At 45.4% G+C, this 13,344-nt stretch overlaps 2 protein-coding genes across 22 annotated transcripts in view, besides 4 other annotated features; one reads left to right on the forward strand and one right to left on the reverse strand.

Moving 5' to 3' along the window:
* The window catches only part of SLC26A8 (solute carrier family 26 member 8), an 81,126-nt gene extending 71,923 nt beyond the window's left edge, over positions 1–9,203 (reverse strand). For 3 of the 6 annotated variants that reach the window (XR_926055.4, XM_011514294.4, NM_052961.4), the window contains exons 1-2: positions 9,066–9,203; positions 4,082–4,271 (exon numbers count right to left, since the gene is read on the reverse strand). Coding sequence is in view for 5 of the 6 variants with exons in the window: in XM_011514294.4 (XP_011512596.1) it covers positions 4,082–4,269 (188 nt within the window). In the remaining variant the exon portion in view is untranslated. Of the gene's footprint in view, positions 1–4,081; positions 4,272–8,891 lie in introns of all 6 variants that reach the window. The other 3 variants (NM_138718.3, XM_017010235.2, NM_001193476.2) reach the window with 2 other exon arrangements.
* Positions 8,648–9,149: an enhancer, noted in NCBI's record as "H3K4me1 hESC enhancer chr6:35991863-35992364 (GRCh37/hg19 assembly coordinates)". NCBI's record gives its function as "activates a minimal SCP1, AML or CMV promoter by ChIP-STARR-seq in naive H9 embryonic stem cells {active_cell/tissue: H9 hESC(naive)}" and the evidence as "EXISTENCE:reporter gene assay evidence [ECO:0000049][PMID:30033119]".
* Positions 9,150–9,649: an enhancer, noted in NCBI's record as "H3K4me1 hESC enhancer chr6:35992365-35992864 (GRCh37/hg19 assembly coordinates)". NCBI's record gives its function as "activates a minimal SCP1, AML or CMV promoter by ChIP-STARR-seq in naive H9 embryonic stem cells {active_cell/tissue: H9 hESC(naive)}" and the evidence as "EXISTENCE:reporter gene assay evidence [ECO:0000049][PMID:30033119]".
* Positions 11,981–12,420: an enhancer, noted in NCBI's record as "active region_24415". NCBI's record gives its function as "activates an Ori minimal core promoter by ATAC-STARR-seq in GM12878 lymphoblastoid cells {active_cell/tissue: GM12878}" and the evidence as "EXISTENCE:reporter gene assay evidence [ECO:0000049][PMID:35858748]".
* The window catches only part of MAPK14 (mitogen-activated protein kinase 14), a 96,407-nt gene continuing 95,432 nt past the window's right edge, over positions 12,370–13,344 (forward strand). For 8 of the 16 annotated variants that reach the window (XR_007059209.1, XR_007059210.1, XM_047418233.1 and 5 more), the window contains exon 1: positions 12,370–13,061. Coding sequence is in view for 12 of the 16 variants with exons in the window: in XM_047418233.1 (XP_047274189.1) it covers positions 12,823–13,061 (239 nt within the window). In the remaining 4 variants the exon portion in view is untranslated. The remainder of the gene's footprint in view (positions 13,062–13,344) is intronic. The other 8 variants (XR_007059211.1, XR_926065.3, XM_017010299.3 and 5 more) reach the window with 1 other exon arrangement.
* Positions 12,611–12,710: a silencer, noted in NCBI's record as "silent region_17104". NCBI's record gives its function as "represses an Ori minimal core promoter by ATAC-STARR-seq in GM12878 lymphoblastoid cells {active_cell/tissue: GM12878}" and the evidence as "EXISTENCE:reporter gene assay evidence [ECO:0000049][PMID:35858748]".

Here is a 13,344-nt window from a genome sequence, read left to right on the forward strand (position 1 = left end):
GCTACCTTTCTGGTTAAAATTTAGAAGTGGAGAGAATTGTATGTTTTAGAAGTAGGGAGTAACAGTTGCTAGAAAGCTTATGGGAGGCAGAATGGGTCAGATTTAAGTGTCCGGATGGCAAGGCTAAGTAAGGAAGGTAGAAAGGAGTTAGGTTGAAATTTCACTGGGAATACTTATTTATAATGAGGGTAAAGTTAGGGAAAAAGACTATCATTTTATAGAGACAAAGCCAATGTTGCCCCCAAATACCCTCTTTGGCACATGTCCCCCGATCCATCATGGAGCAGAGGAAGTGAGAGGACTGGGGGGGATATCCAAGAACACAACTTGCAAAAGGCAGAATGCGGACAAAGGAGAATGTCTCAAGGAGAGGACAGTCTGGAGCAGGGCTGTGTAGGACTTTCCACACTTGTCACCAACATGCCAACATACCAACATGTGCCAATTGTGGGTGATAAACCAGGGGACAAGAAGGACTAATAAATTCAGAGTGTGACTGAGGACAACTTGAGTAATTAAGATTACTATAATGATGTAGGTCACAAAGGATTCTTTGTTTTTTTTTTTTCTTTTTGAGACAGAGTCTCATTCTGTCACCAGGCTGGAGTGCAGTGGCGTGATCTCGGCTCACTGCAACCTCTGCCTCCCGGATTCAAGCGATTCTCCTGCCTCAGCCTCTCGGGTAGCTGGGACTACAGCTGTGCGCCACCAAGCCCAGCTAATTTTTGTATTTTTAGTGGAGAAGGGGTTTCACCACGTTGGCCAGGATGGTCTCAAACTCCTGACCTCAGTGATCCGCCCACCTCAGCCTCCCAAAGTGCTGGGATTACAGGTGTGAGCCACTGCACCCGGCCAGGGTTCTTAACCTGAGGTTTGTGGACCCCCAAGGAGTCTGTAGATAGTATTTGGGGACATATGTGAAATTATATAGGTGAACTTATATCTTTATTTCACTAACCTCTTTAGCATTTCCTTCAATTATGAATGTTGGCAACAAAACACAGTAGTATCAGCAGAACTTGACTTTGTCACCAGTAGAAATGACAAACATTTCTATATTACATTACAATTGCTAAAGAGATCTTGAAATATTAGTTACATTCATCACTACTTTGAAATTATGGTAGTTATTAGACCCATGTTATTAAATAACACAATTTTGGTATTTTTGATATTTAGATAACTGTATTTCAATGTAACTGGTTTTCCTTATAATCCTGCTTATTTTATGCATTAAAAAATTATTCAACCAAGACCGTTTACTAGGTGAAGACAATCTCTTCAACTAATTGTCCTGGGAAAACAGAATATCTACATGTAAAAGAATAAAGCTGGACCTTTACCTTACACTATATACAAACATTAATTCAAAAAGGATCAAAGACCTAAATTTAAAAGCTAAAACTATAAAATTCATAGAAGGAAACATAGATGAAAATATGCATGATCTTGGCCCAGAGCGGTGGCTCATGCCTGTAATCCCAGCACTTTGTGAGGCCAAAGCAAGCGGATCACTTGAGGTCAGGAATTTGAGACCAGCCTGACCAATTTGATGAAACCCCGTCTCTACTAAAAATGCAAAAATTAGCTGGGTGTGGTGGCGCACACCTGTAATCCCAGATACTCGGGAGATGAGGCAGGAGAATCGCTTGAACTTGGGAGGTGGAGGTTGCAGTGAGCGGAGATTGTGCCACTGCATGGTAGCCTGGGTGACAGTGAGACTTTGCCTCAAAAAGAAAGAAAGAAGGAAAGAAGAATGGAAGGAAGGAAGGAGAAAAGAAAAGAAAAGAAAAGATGCATGATCTTGTATGATCTTGAATTTGACAAGTTTCTTAAATATGGCACCAAAAGTCCAGGCAACAAAAGAAAATACAGATAAATTGGATTTCATCAAAATTAAAAACTCTTCTACATCAGGTGCGGTGGCTCACGTCTGTAATCCCAGCACTTTGGGAGGCCGAGGCAGGTGGATCACCTGAGGTCAGGAGTTCAAAACCAGCCTGGCCAACATGGTGAAACCCCACCTCTATTAAAAATACAAAAATTAGCTGGGCGTGGTGGCACCTGCCTGTAGTCCCCACTACTCAGGAGGCTGAGGCAGGAGAATTGCTCGAACCTGGGAGGCAGGGGCTGCAGTGAGCAGAGATCATGCCATCGCACTCCAGCCTGGGCAACAAGAGTGAAATTCCGTCTCAACAAAACAAAACAAAACAAAACAAAACACCAAAAAACTTTTCTACATCAAAGGACACTGTATCAACAGAGTGAAAAGACAACCTGCAGAATGGGAGAAAATATTTACAAAATTATATAAGATTTACAAACATCTATCTGATAGAAATTTAATATCCAGAATACATGAAGAACTCCTATAACTCAACAACAAAAAGACAAACAACCTAATTTTACAAAGGACAAAGGAAATGAATAGACATTTCTCCAAAGAAGATATACAATTAACCAATAAACACACCAAAAGATACTCATCACCTTTAGTCATCAGGAAAATGCAGAACAAAAGCAAAAACAAAAAACCACGATGAGATATCATTTCATACCTAATAGGTTGGCTATAATTTAAAAAAATGGAAAATAACAAATGTTGGAGAGCACATGGAAAAATTGTACATTGCCAGTGAAAATGTAAAGTGGTGCAGCTACTGTGGAAAACAGTTTGGCAGTTCCTTAAAAAGTTAAATTTACCACAGATTTATGATGTGATTCAACAATTCTAGTCCTAGTTATAGGACTTCAAACAGATCTCCTGTGCCAATGTTCATGGCAGCATTATTTACAGTAGCCTAATGGCGGTAGAAACAACTCAAATGTCTGTTAACGAATGGATAAACAAAAATGTGGTATATAAATACAATGGAATATTATTCAGCCATAAAATGAAATGAAGTTCTAATACATGCTACAATATGGATGAATCTTGAAAACATTATGCTAAGTGAAAGAAGTCAGACACAAAAAGACAAACATATTGTATGATTCTACTTAAGTGAAATAGCTAGAATAGGCAAATTCATAGAGACAGAAAGCAGAAGAGAGGTTACTTGGGCTGAGGGGTGGGGAAATAGGGAATTATTGCTTAACAGAATTTCTGTTTGAGGTGATGAAAAAGTTTTGGAAATAGCGGTGATGGTTTCACAACATTGCGAATGTCAATCATGCCACTGAATTGTATATTTAAAAATGGTCAAAATAGCCAATTTTATGTTATACATATTTCACCACAATAAAAAACATTTAAAAAATTATTCTGAAAGATGTTGATTAACTTTATCAGACTGCTAGAAGGTTCAAAGCACAAAAACAGGGTAAGAGCCCCTGAACTGTAGGACCTAGCTAGTCACAGCGGGTATCAGAGGTGGTGGTGGTAGATTCTACCTTAGTGACCATGAGTACCACCATGTGGGCACTGTTGGATATGAGACTAGAAGAATCTCATTCCCCTACCATTAATCAGTCCACCATGGCTATCTTATTTATTTATTTTTTTTGAGACAGAGACTTGCTCTGTTGCCCAGGCTAGAGTGTAGTGGCACAATCTCGACCCACTACAACCTCCGCCTCCCAGGTTCAAGCAATTCTCATGCCTCAGCCTCTTGAGCAGCTGGAATTACAGCACGTGCCACCACGCCCAGCTAATTTTTGTATTTTTAGTAGAGACGGGGTTTCACCATGTTGCCCAGGTTGGTCTCAAATTCCTGGACTCAAGTGATCTGCCTGCCTTGGCCTCCTGAAGTGCTGGGATTACGGGCGTGAGCCATTGCGTCTTGCTGGCTATCTTATTTTTGGTCGGGAGTCTGGTAGTCATGGTTGATTGAACAATGGAATTATGAAATATCCTCCTTAGGTACCATAGGGACATCCAAGATCTTTATGCCCAGGAAGTTTACAATCGAAAAGGTACTGCAAGACAAACCACAAAAATGACTGAAGAAAAATTGCACAATAAACTGCATGATTCTGATTACAGGAACTCAGACAAGAAAGAGAAACGGACCCCAAAGGAGTCAGGTTAGGTTTCAGTCCTGCCCGGCTCGGCAGCAGGTGAAAGATTGGACACACGCACCGGCACTGGACGTGGTGTCTGAAGGTGGTGATGTTGATGTTCATGTTCCCAGAAGAGGAGGCCTTCCTTTTGTGTTCCTGTTGAAAGGTCTCCTCATTGTATACTTCACGCTTAACATCATATGCGAATGAGTTTCGCCTGGACTTAGAGCTGAAGCCAGAGATGGCGCTCCTCTCTAGTTGTGCCATTCCTGGATGAGTGGAAAGAGAGCAAATAAAAGAGCATTTTCAGTAATCCAGATCCTCGGCATATTTTTAAGGAAATAAAATTCCTATATAATAATGTTTTACACTTGCATAGCATCTTTCAGTTGTAAAAAACTCTTTCTCAAAGTTGTATAATTTTATGTGTATTCTTTTCATTTTTCAAATGGAGACAACAAAACCCAGAAGTTTAAACAGTCTTTGCTGTTTGATACTTATTAGAGCCAGGACTAGAACCCAGGTGTCCTGCTGGGAGGCCTAGTTTTCTTTATATTCAGTTGTGTTATGTTGTAGGAAAATGATCAAGAGGTGGACAGTATTAATCAACAATTTTCACTGAAAATGCTCACTATCCAGCATATATGAAGAAGTCCAGATGAAGGGTTAAGTGCTCAATACAAGTCTTGTAACTCCTCTAAAATAGCAGACATCATTATCCCTTTACCTTTTACTTTTCTTCACGGCACTTGCCAGCACCTGATTCATTATTTGTCTGTTTGTCCATTGTCTGTTTCCCCCATAAAATGTAAGACCAGGAAGCAGGACTGTGACTATTCACAGTTGCAGCCCCAGGACCCAAAAGAATGGCTTTCACTTAGCAACTTAGCAGGCCCTTAACAAGTGTTTCTTGAATGACTGCCAAGTATACAGTTAGTGGCCTCATGGTGTAGCAGAAAAAGCTATAGAAGTTCAAGACTAGACTAGGCAACATGGTGAAACCCTGTCTCTACTAAAAATAGAAACAAAATTAGCTGGGCATGATGGCATGGCATGTAGTCCTAGCTGCTCAGGAGGCTGAGGTGGGAGGATCACCTGAGCCCAGCAGGTGGAGGTTGCAGTGAGCTGGGATCGCACCACTGTACTCCAGCCTGGGTGTCAGAGCGAGACCCTGTCTCTAAAAGAAAAAAAAATCTATATTATCCTGCTTTTTTAAAAGATTGAAAAGATAGAGTAAATGAGGATGGATAGGGATCCATCTCTGGGAGAAAGTATAACCAGTCTTAATAATCTATGTTTTTGAACAATAAAAAAAGCATAAACTCTAAAATTCTTCCACATAAATGTAAAAAAGCATATGTATAAACCACATACCTATAAAATATATTGGTAAACCCTCAAATTATATAGATTACACAATTATATAGATGATGGGTGATGCTGCAGATAAGTTTAATGTGTCAGCAACTTTGTTTTCCTTCAGAAGAATCATCATCATCATCATTGCCAACATTTATTGGGCATTTATCCTATGCCATGCATTGCACTAGATTTCTTCACGAGTTATGTCATTAAATTTCCACAACAATACCAGTACTACTATTTCTTTCATTTTACAGGTGTAAAACCAAGATTTTAGAAAATGTAAGTAATTGGGCCATAATTATATATTGTATTTTTACCCTCAAAGCATTGGGTAGAAGTAATATGCTGTATAACAACCATGAACTAAAGATCACAAATTCTCTAAACCAGTGAGGTGACTGGGGAATACAGAAGAGGATGGGAGAGGTATTTTACAATATATTACTTAAGATAATTAGTGCCTCATGTCTCTTACAAAAAGAAAAAAAGGTAGAACTGTATATTGAAATGTAAGGAATCCCCCCCCACCTTTCTTTCCCCACCCATAGGAATACAGACCCAATCTTCCTTACTTTCCCCGTATAATTGTCCAATGTACTTCCATGAGTAGTCTCTTTGTTCCCAGCAACCTAAACAAGCCTAATTAGTCTGCTAATGACAAAACTGATATCCTGGGTCACATCGAGAGTCTAGAACCCAGCATTTTGTTCTGAAAGTGACATTAAAGGAGGATTGGTGTAAAATAGGCAAAATATGACCGTCAAGGAGTGGTGGGAACAGTGGGGCTGGCAAAGGCAGCAGAAGCTGCTTAGCTCTAGCCATTTTTGCCATCGGTCAATGTGGGGCCCGGAATGGCTTAGATCTGATCTTTTCCAGGAGAAGCCATAATGCCAGATTTTTATGTGGAATCTTCTGGCTTTTAAATGTTGTCAATTACTTTACATATGTTTACGTATACATATAAATATATATGTATATTATTTTATTTTATTTTTTGATATAGAGTCTCGCTCTGTCGCCCAGGCTGGAGTGCAGTGGCGTGATCTCAGCTCACAGGGTTTCACGGTGTTAGCCAGGATGGTCTTGATCTCCTGACCTCGTGATCTGCCTCCCTCGGCCTCCCAAAGTGCTGGGATTACACGCGTGAGCCACCGCGCCCGGCCTATTTTTTATTTTTTTGGAGATGGAGTACAGCTCTGTCACCCAGGCTGGAGTTCAGTGGCGCGATCTTAGCTCACTGCAACCTCCACCTCCCAGGTTCAAGCGATTCTCCTGCCTTGCCTCCTGAGTAGCTGGGATTACAGGCATGTGCCACCACATCTGGCTAATTTTTGTATTTTTGGTGGAGACAGGGTTTCGCCATGTTGGCCAGGCTGGTCTTGAATTCCCTACCTCAGGTGATCCTCCCGCCTCGGCCTCCCAAATTGCTGGGATTACAGGCGTGAGCCACTGCGCCTGGCCTATTTAAAGTCTTTCAGCAGAAGTAGTAATACGCACAGAGATGCATTTTGGGAAGATGAAATGTGCCAGTGTTATGTTCTAGAGCTGAGTTGTCCAGTATGGTAGCCACTGGCTACATGTGGCTATTTAAACTTAAAATAAAAAATTCAGATCCTCAATTATACTAGCTAGATTTCAAGTGCTCAACAGCCACATATGGCTAGTGGTTACCTTACTGGACAGTGCAGATATGCAGATATAAAAAATTTCCATCATCACAAAAAGTTGTTGGACAGTGGAGATAGGAGAGACTGAGGCAAAACAGCCAATTGGAGACCATTAATATTAGTCTAGGAGATGTTATCAAGTCATAAACTCCTACGACCACAGTGAGGATGGCTAGGAGGAGCAGGTGGAAAGTTGTCTTTAAGGAACTCCATCAAATGTCTGGCTAACAGCAGCAAGGGTAAACGCATGGTTTCCTTATTATTTTTTTTAAGTAATTTTCTTTGGAATTTCTCCAGCTCCATTATGTCTTTCTTGATTTCATAGAAATCCTAGTGGCTCATTTTCATGTACTAGCAGGACACTTCCCAAGAAGATGCAATGACCAGAAACTCCTACTGTTGAGTAGGCCCCACTTAGCAAGACCTACTGAATCAGAAACTCTGGGGGCCATCAGTCTGTTTTAAGAAGCTGTCCAGACTGCTGGGCCCCCAGAGATTCTGATTCAGTAGGTCTTGCTAGGTAGAAAAAAAGCAAAGAAGCTGTCCAGGTGATTCTGATAAAAATTAAAGTATGACTACCACTATAAATATAGTGGATTATCTTTCATGAGCCTTTCAGTGCTAAATTTGGGGGCCCTGTTAAAATACAAGCACTTTTGGCCTAGCTCTTTCACCCTCCATAGTACCCTTATCCATCCATCCATCCATCCATCCATCCATCCATCCATCCATCCATTTATCTAATTATTTACATTATCTGTGTTCAGAGTGCTTTAAAAGTAAAGAATAGGCCAGACATGGCTCAGTGGCTCATGCCTGTAATCCCAGCACTTTGGAAGGCCAAGGCGGTTGGATCAGCTGAGGTCAGGAGTTCAAGACCAGCCTGGCCAACATGGTGAAACCCCGTCTCTAATAAAAATACAAAAATTAGCCGAGCATGATGGCGTGCCTGTAGTCCTGGCTACTCAGGAGGGTGAGGCAGGAGAATCGCTTGAACCTAGGAGGCAGAGGTTGCAGTGAACCGAGATCAAACCACTGCATTCCAGCCTGGGCGACAGAGCAAGACTCTGTCTCAAAAAAAAAAAAAAAAAAAAAAGTCAAGAATAAAAAGTTTAAATACAATCCAATTTTTTAGCTATTGACCCAAATAATATGAAATCTTGAAAGCTAGTTTAGTTGCAGGAATATCTTCCCCCTGATATTGTTAACTTTCTTATGTTTTCTATAATCACGGAAAGGCAAAATTTACTTCCGAATTTTCAAAATAAGCATTTGTAATTCCATCAGAAACAACCCTACACCTGTTACTACCTAGGTTTTTATGGAGAATGTATTGGGAATACAGAAAAGGTATAAGCAAAGAGCCTGGCCTTTAGATCCTTTAGTCACTCTGGCTAGTGGCTAGGGATGACTAGTAAGATGACAGTCCTTAAGCGGATGACCATTGGACACATAAACATAGGACAACCACCTTCCATGCAATGTGGATAGAGTAACATGGTGTGTTGGAGAGATGCTCATTATTGGGGTGGGGGTGCTGGAGAAGGCTTCACGGGGCCCCTGACACATCAACGGCATTTGACATGAAAAGAAAGGGGCAAGGAGGTGGGGGTGGGGATTCAGTCACAGGGAACAAAATTAACAAAAGCAGTGGGGTCTGAAAGGAAGAGGAACGGCCGGGCAGTCAGGCCTCAGGAGGAAATGGATGGGGTAGGCGGTGGGGTGCAGGTAGCACGTCAGTTCTGGGGCTTTTGACAATATAGACAGGAGAATTTGAAAGGATGCAGCTTGCAAAACGCACACACTGTTGTCTCTTGTCATTGCCATCCACACGGCCTTTGAAAGTAGAGACAATACCTCAGAGATAAGCTCCCAGGGACGACCATCATTCATTCATTCCACAGATACTGACTGAGTGCCCACGGCGTGCCTGGCTCTGCGGCATACCTGGGTACCTGCCGGTGACGGACGCAGCCCCCGCCCTGGGACCTGCAGCCCCCGGCGCCCAGGCGTCTCCCAGCAGCGGCTCACCTGGCTCCTTGGCGGGGGCGGGAGTGCGGGCGCTGGGATCCCACACGGCTCTCGCCTGGCTGGCGGCGCTGCGGACGCGGATACCGGCGGCGGTTCCCGAGCCGTTGTGGCCTAGCCCGCGGGCGTTCCGGGCGGGCTGAGGAGATGAGAGTGGGGGAGGGGACGAGGAAGAGGAGCATGAGCAGCTGGGCTAGGGAGCCAGGAAAGTGGTACCTGGGTCGCCCTCCTCATACCTGAGTCGTGGGATCCCCTTGGTATTTGGTAAACCTGTATACCAAGGCTCCTTCTCTCTCCGAGGTTTTGCTATTCTTGATCGAGGGCCTATTTGGTGCCAGGCCTCGTGTCCTGAACATACAGCAGTGCACATGTGTCACATGTGTACTGCACAGACGGTAATTCACTAACGTCTCCGGAAGACTTAAGCCTTCCTCAGGTCAGAAGAGGTAAAAAGAAATGGAGGCTAGGAGGGTCACCCAGGTCTCCAACCATAGGCTGTCTGCCCCACAAACCCGGCTCTCCCCACTGAATGACACCCTCCTGCCCAGATCTGCTCTGGATGCAGACATGCCATCTGCACTCACTCCCTTTACCCTCCTCCCACCCTATCCCTGTCCCTAGCACTGTCTCTCACTCCACCTTGTATTCCTGCTTGGCCCAGTTACAGTTTTACACTTGTTTGTTTGATGACTGTGTTAATGTCTACCTTATAATGCACTTTATGTATTCCTTTTTGTAAATCATCTTACCCCTATGAGGGCAAGGACTTTTATCCCTTTCATTAACTGTTTTATTATCAGTGCCTACAGCAGTGTGGTGGACATAGGAAGTATTCAATTAATTTTTGTTGAATGATTGCCCTCCCATTGATTGTAAGCTCCACACCGGCAGCAACTGTAGTTTTTAATCACTTTTAAACTGCAAGTGTTTGACACCTAGTAGGCATTTAATACACATTGGTTGAATGAGTGTATGAATATACTGCTTACTTTATCTTTACCCTTTCATTCACCCTCACCTCATCATCCCAATTTGTAGGATAAAAATGTGCATTTCTGAGGATTCCTACTTCCAAGCTTCCTCCTCACCCTTTGTAACCATTCCCTCATTCCCTTGATCCCCCCAACCCCATCCCTCATGTCTTCACAATCATGTTTTTGCTCTTACTTCCCCTTCACCCTCCATTACTTCTTAGAAAGCTTCCTATCCTCCCTAGTTTGGAACATTCTCAAGCAACATGTTTTTGTAGATAAGAGAATTCCAGCCTAAGCTACATTGGATCCAAAACAGCTTTCCATGAATCACCCATGACTATCTGTTTTTTGGTTTTATATTGCTTTCCTTGAAGAGGACTGAGGATACTGTACCACTTGAAATCATGGTCACTGTTCATAATTTTTTCAACAAATATTTATGACACATGTTTTATGTTCTAGACATTGTGCTAGATGTTGGGACAAGATATGCAAAGTCTGAGCCCTCCAAGGTGTGTATGACACAAAATAGAATAATCACGGGAAATGTTGAGAAATGTCCTGGCTTGGATCTAGTTATTTCTAATACAAGAAACTAAGAGAATGAGACAGGATCTGATTCTTCTGCTCATTGTAACAAGCTTTAGCATAGGCATAGGTTGATAATGGATGTAGGCATGGGGTTAGAATGCCTTGCCCATTCACATTTATCTTGTTTGGTTTTTACAAATGACTCTGTTAGTCGGGAATGCAGGGCAGGAATTCTCTCGTAGAAGCTGGAACTGAGGTTCAGGAAAGGTCAGTTGACTTGCCTAAATTCGATGAGACTCCTGCCCTATTCTCCTTACTCGAAGAGGCCTGAGTTAAATGCTTAAAATCCTCTTCACTGATGGCTCTTCAGGATAGGAGTCAGTTTCAAATCTTCAGTGTAACGGTTTTTTAAATGCTTCTCAAAGGGAGATATCAGAGACTTTCCTGAATCAGAATCACCTAAGATGTATTATAAAAATGCATGCTCTTGATCAAGACCTCCTCTGACCTACCCAATTAGACTCCCTGTGAGTTCTGGGAACTTGCATCTTAAACTCCCAGGGTGATTTTTCTGCATGTAAGTTTAACTGGGAGAGTTTTAATGTAAAGCTTCGGTTTGTTTTTGTTTTTGTTTTTGTTTTTGAGACGGAGTCTCCCTCTGACGCCAGGCTGGAGTGCAGTGGCGCGATTTTAGCTCACTGCAACCTCCGCCTCCTGGATTCATGCAATTCTCCTGCCTCAGCCTCCCGAGAAGCTGGGACTACAGGGTCGTGCCACCACGCCCAGCTAATTTTTGTATTTTTTTTAGTAGAGACGAGGTTTCACCATGTTGGCCAGGATGGTCTCTATCGCTTGACCTCGTGATCCACCCGCCTCGGCCTCCCAAAGTGCTGGGATAACAGGTGTGAGCCACTGAGCCCAGCCCCTGGAAAGCCTCAGCTTTGATGCAGGGTTAACATTTGCCTTTGGGACATATTTCGTCAGCATCTCAAAGAGTAACCCATATGTCCTTGAGCAGATGGGAATGCAACAGCCTTCTGGCCGGAACCTGTCTCTTTCTTTCTTTCTTTCTTTTGAGACGGAGTTTCGCTCTTGTTGCCCAGGCTGGAGTGTAATGGCACGATCTCGGCTCACCGCAACTCCGCCTCCCGGGTTCAAGCGATTCTCCTGCCTCAGCCTCCCGAATAGCTAAGACTCCAGGTGCGCGCCACTACGCCCGGTTAATTTTGCATTTTTAGTAGAGACGGGGTTTCTCCATGTTGGTCAGGCTGGTCTCGAACTCCCGACCTCAGGTGATCCGCCCGCCTCGGCCTCCCAAAGTGCTGGGATTACAGGCGTGAGCCACCACGCCCGGCCACTTGTCTCTTTTTTATGCAAGTGTTTTTTGGAATTTGGGGGTTCAGGTGAGCAGGTGCTCTGCTGCTGGTAACTACTCGCAGTTAAAGATCTTTTGACTCTTTCCCCGACACGCTATTTGTCAGTGTCGTTTTCCACCACAGAGCCAGGTATTTGCCCCGCCGGCCACGGTGAGGCGCGCGAGGCGTGTGCTGCCAGCTTCTCTCTTCCTTCCCCGGTCCGCCTTCGCGCCCTTAAGGAGACAGTCCCTGGGAGTTTCTGCCTTTGGTCTCCAGTTATTGTTCTCTTCTCGCGAGAACTGCTCCTCCCATCCTCTTCTCTCACGAAGCCCCGCCCGCGGAGAGGTTCCATATTGGGTAAAATCTCGGCTCTCGGAGAGTCCCGGGAGCTGTTCTCGCGAGAGTACTGCGGGAGGCTCCCGTTTGCTGGCTCTTGGAACCGCGACCACTGGAGCCTTAGCGGGCGCAGCAGCTGGAACGGGAGTACTGCGACGCAGCCCGGAGTCGGCCTTGTAGGGGCGAAGGTGCAGGGAGATCGCGGCGGGCGCAGTCTTGAGCGCCGGAGCGCGTCCCTGCCCTTAGCGGGGCTTGCCCCAGTCGCAGGGGCACATCCAGCCGCTGCGGCTGACAGCAGCCGCGCGCGCGGGAGTCTGCGGGGTCGCGGCAGCCGCACCTGCGCGGGCGACCAGCGCAAGGTCCCCGCCCGGCTGGGCGGGCAGCAAGGGCCGGGGAGAGGGTGCGGGTGCAGGCGGGGGCCCCACAGGGCCACCTTCTTGCCCGGCGGCTGCCGCTGGAAAATGTCTCAGGAGAGGCCCACGTTCTACCGGCAGGAGCTGAACAAGACAATCTGGGAGGTGCCCGAGCGTTACCAGAACCTGTCTCCAGTGGGCTCTGGCGCCTATGGCTCTGTGTGGTGAGTGTCGCTGGGCCTGGGGCCGCTGTGGGCAGGGTGGCCCCTCGCGCCCGAGGGCCAGGCCTGCTCCACTGCTCAGCGTTGCGTCAAGTGGCAGGAATTTTCCTCGGGGGAGGGCATTGCTGCCCCTTCGAGCTCTGCCCGTTCTGCACCTCCAGCACCCCTCGCCCTGCACTCACGCAGGTATGCGGTCCACCGTGTGCAGCACTCAGGTCCGCTGCGAGAGGTAGGTGGTGGTGCTGGAGCTCGGTTCTGGCTAGCACCCTGCGCCTTCCCCTCTCGGAGGGTTGCTGCTCGGCAACAGGCACCGGGGGAAGGGCCGCTTCCTTGGGGGTCTCCCTGCCTACCTGGAGCAGAAGGACCCTCTCCCGTGATGCGCCCACGCTGGGGCTCCGGACCCTGGGTCCTCTGAGCAGACAAGCTCGGGGAACTGCCGGGAGAAGCAGAAGGGCACAGCCCAACCCGAAGACTGCGGTCATCTGAACAAAACTGACCAGGAAGGGAGCTCT

Source organism: Homo sapiens, chromosome 6 (genome assembly GCF_000001405.40).
Source record: "Homo sapiens chromosome 6, GRCh38.p14 Primary Assembly".
NCBI lineage: Eukaryota > Metazoa > Chordata > Mammalia > Primates > Hominidae > Homo > Homo sapiens.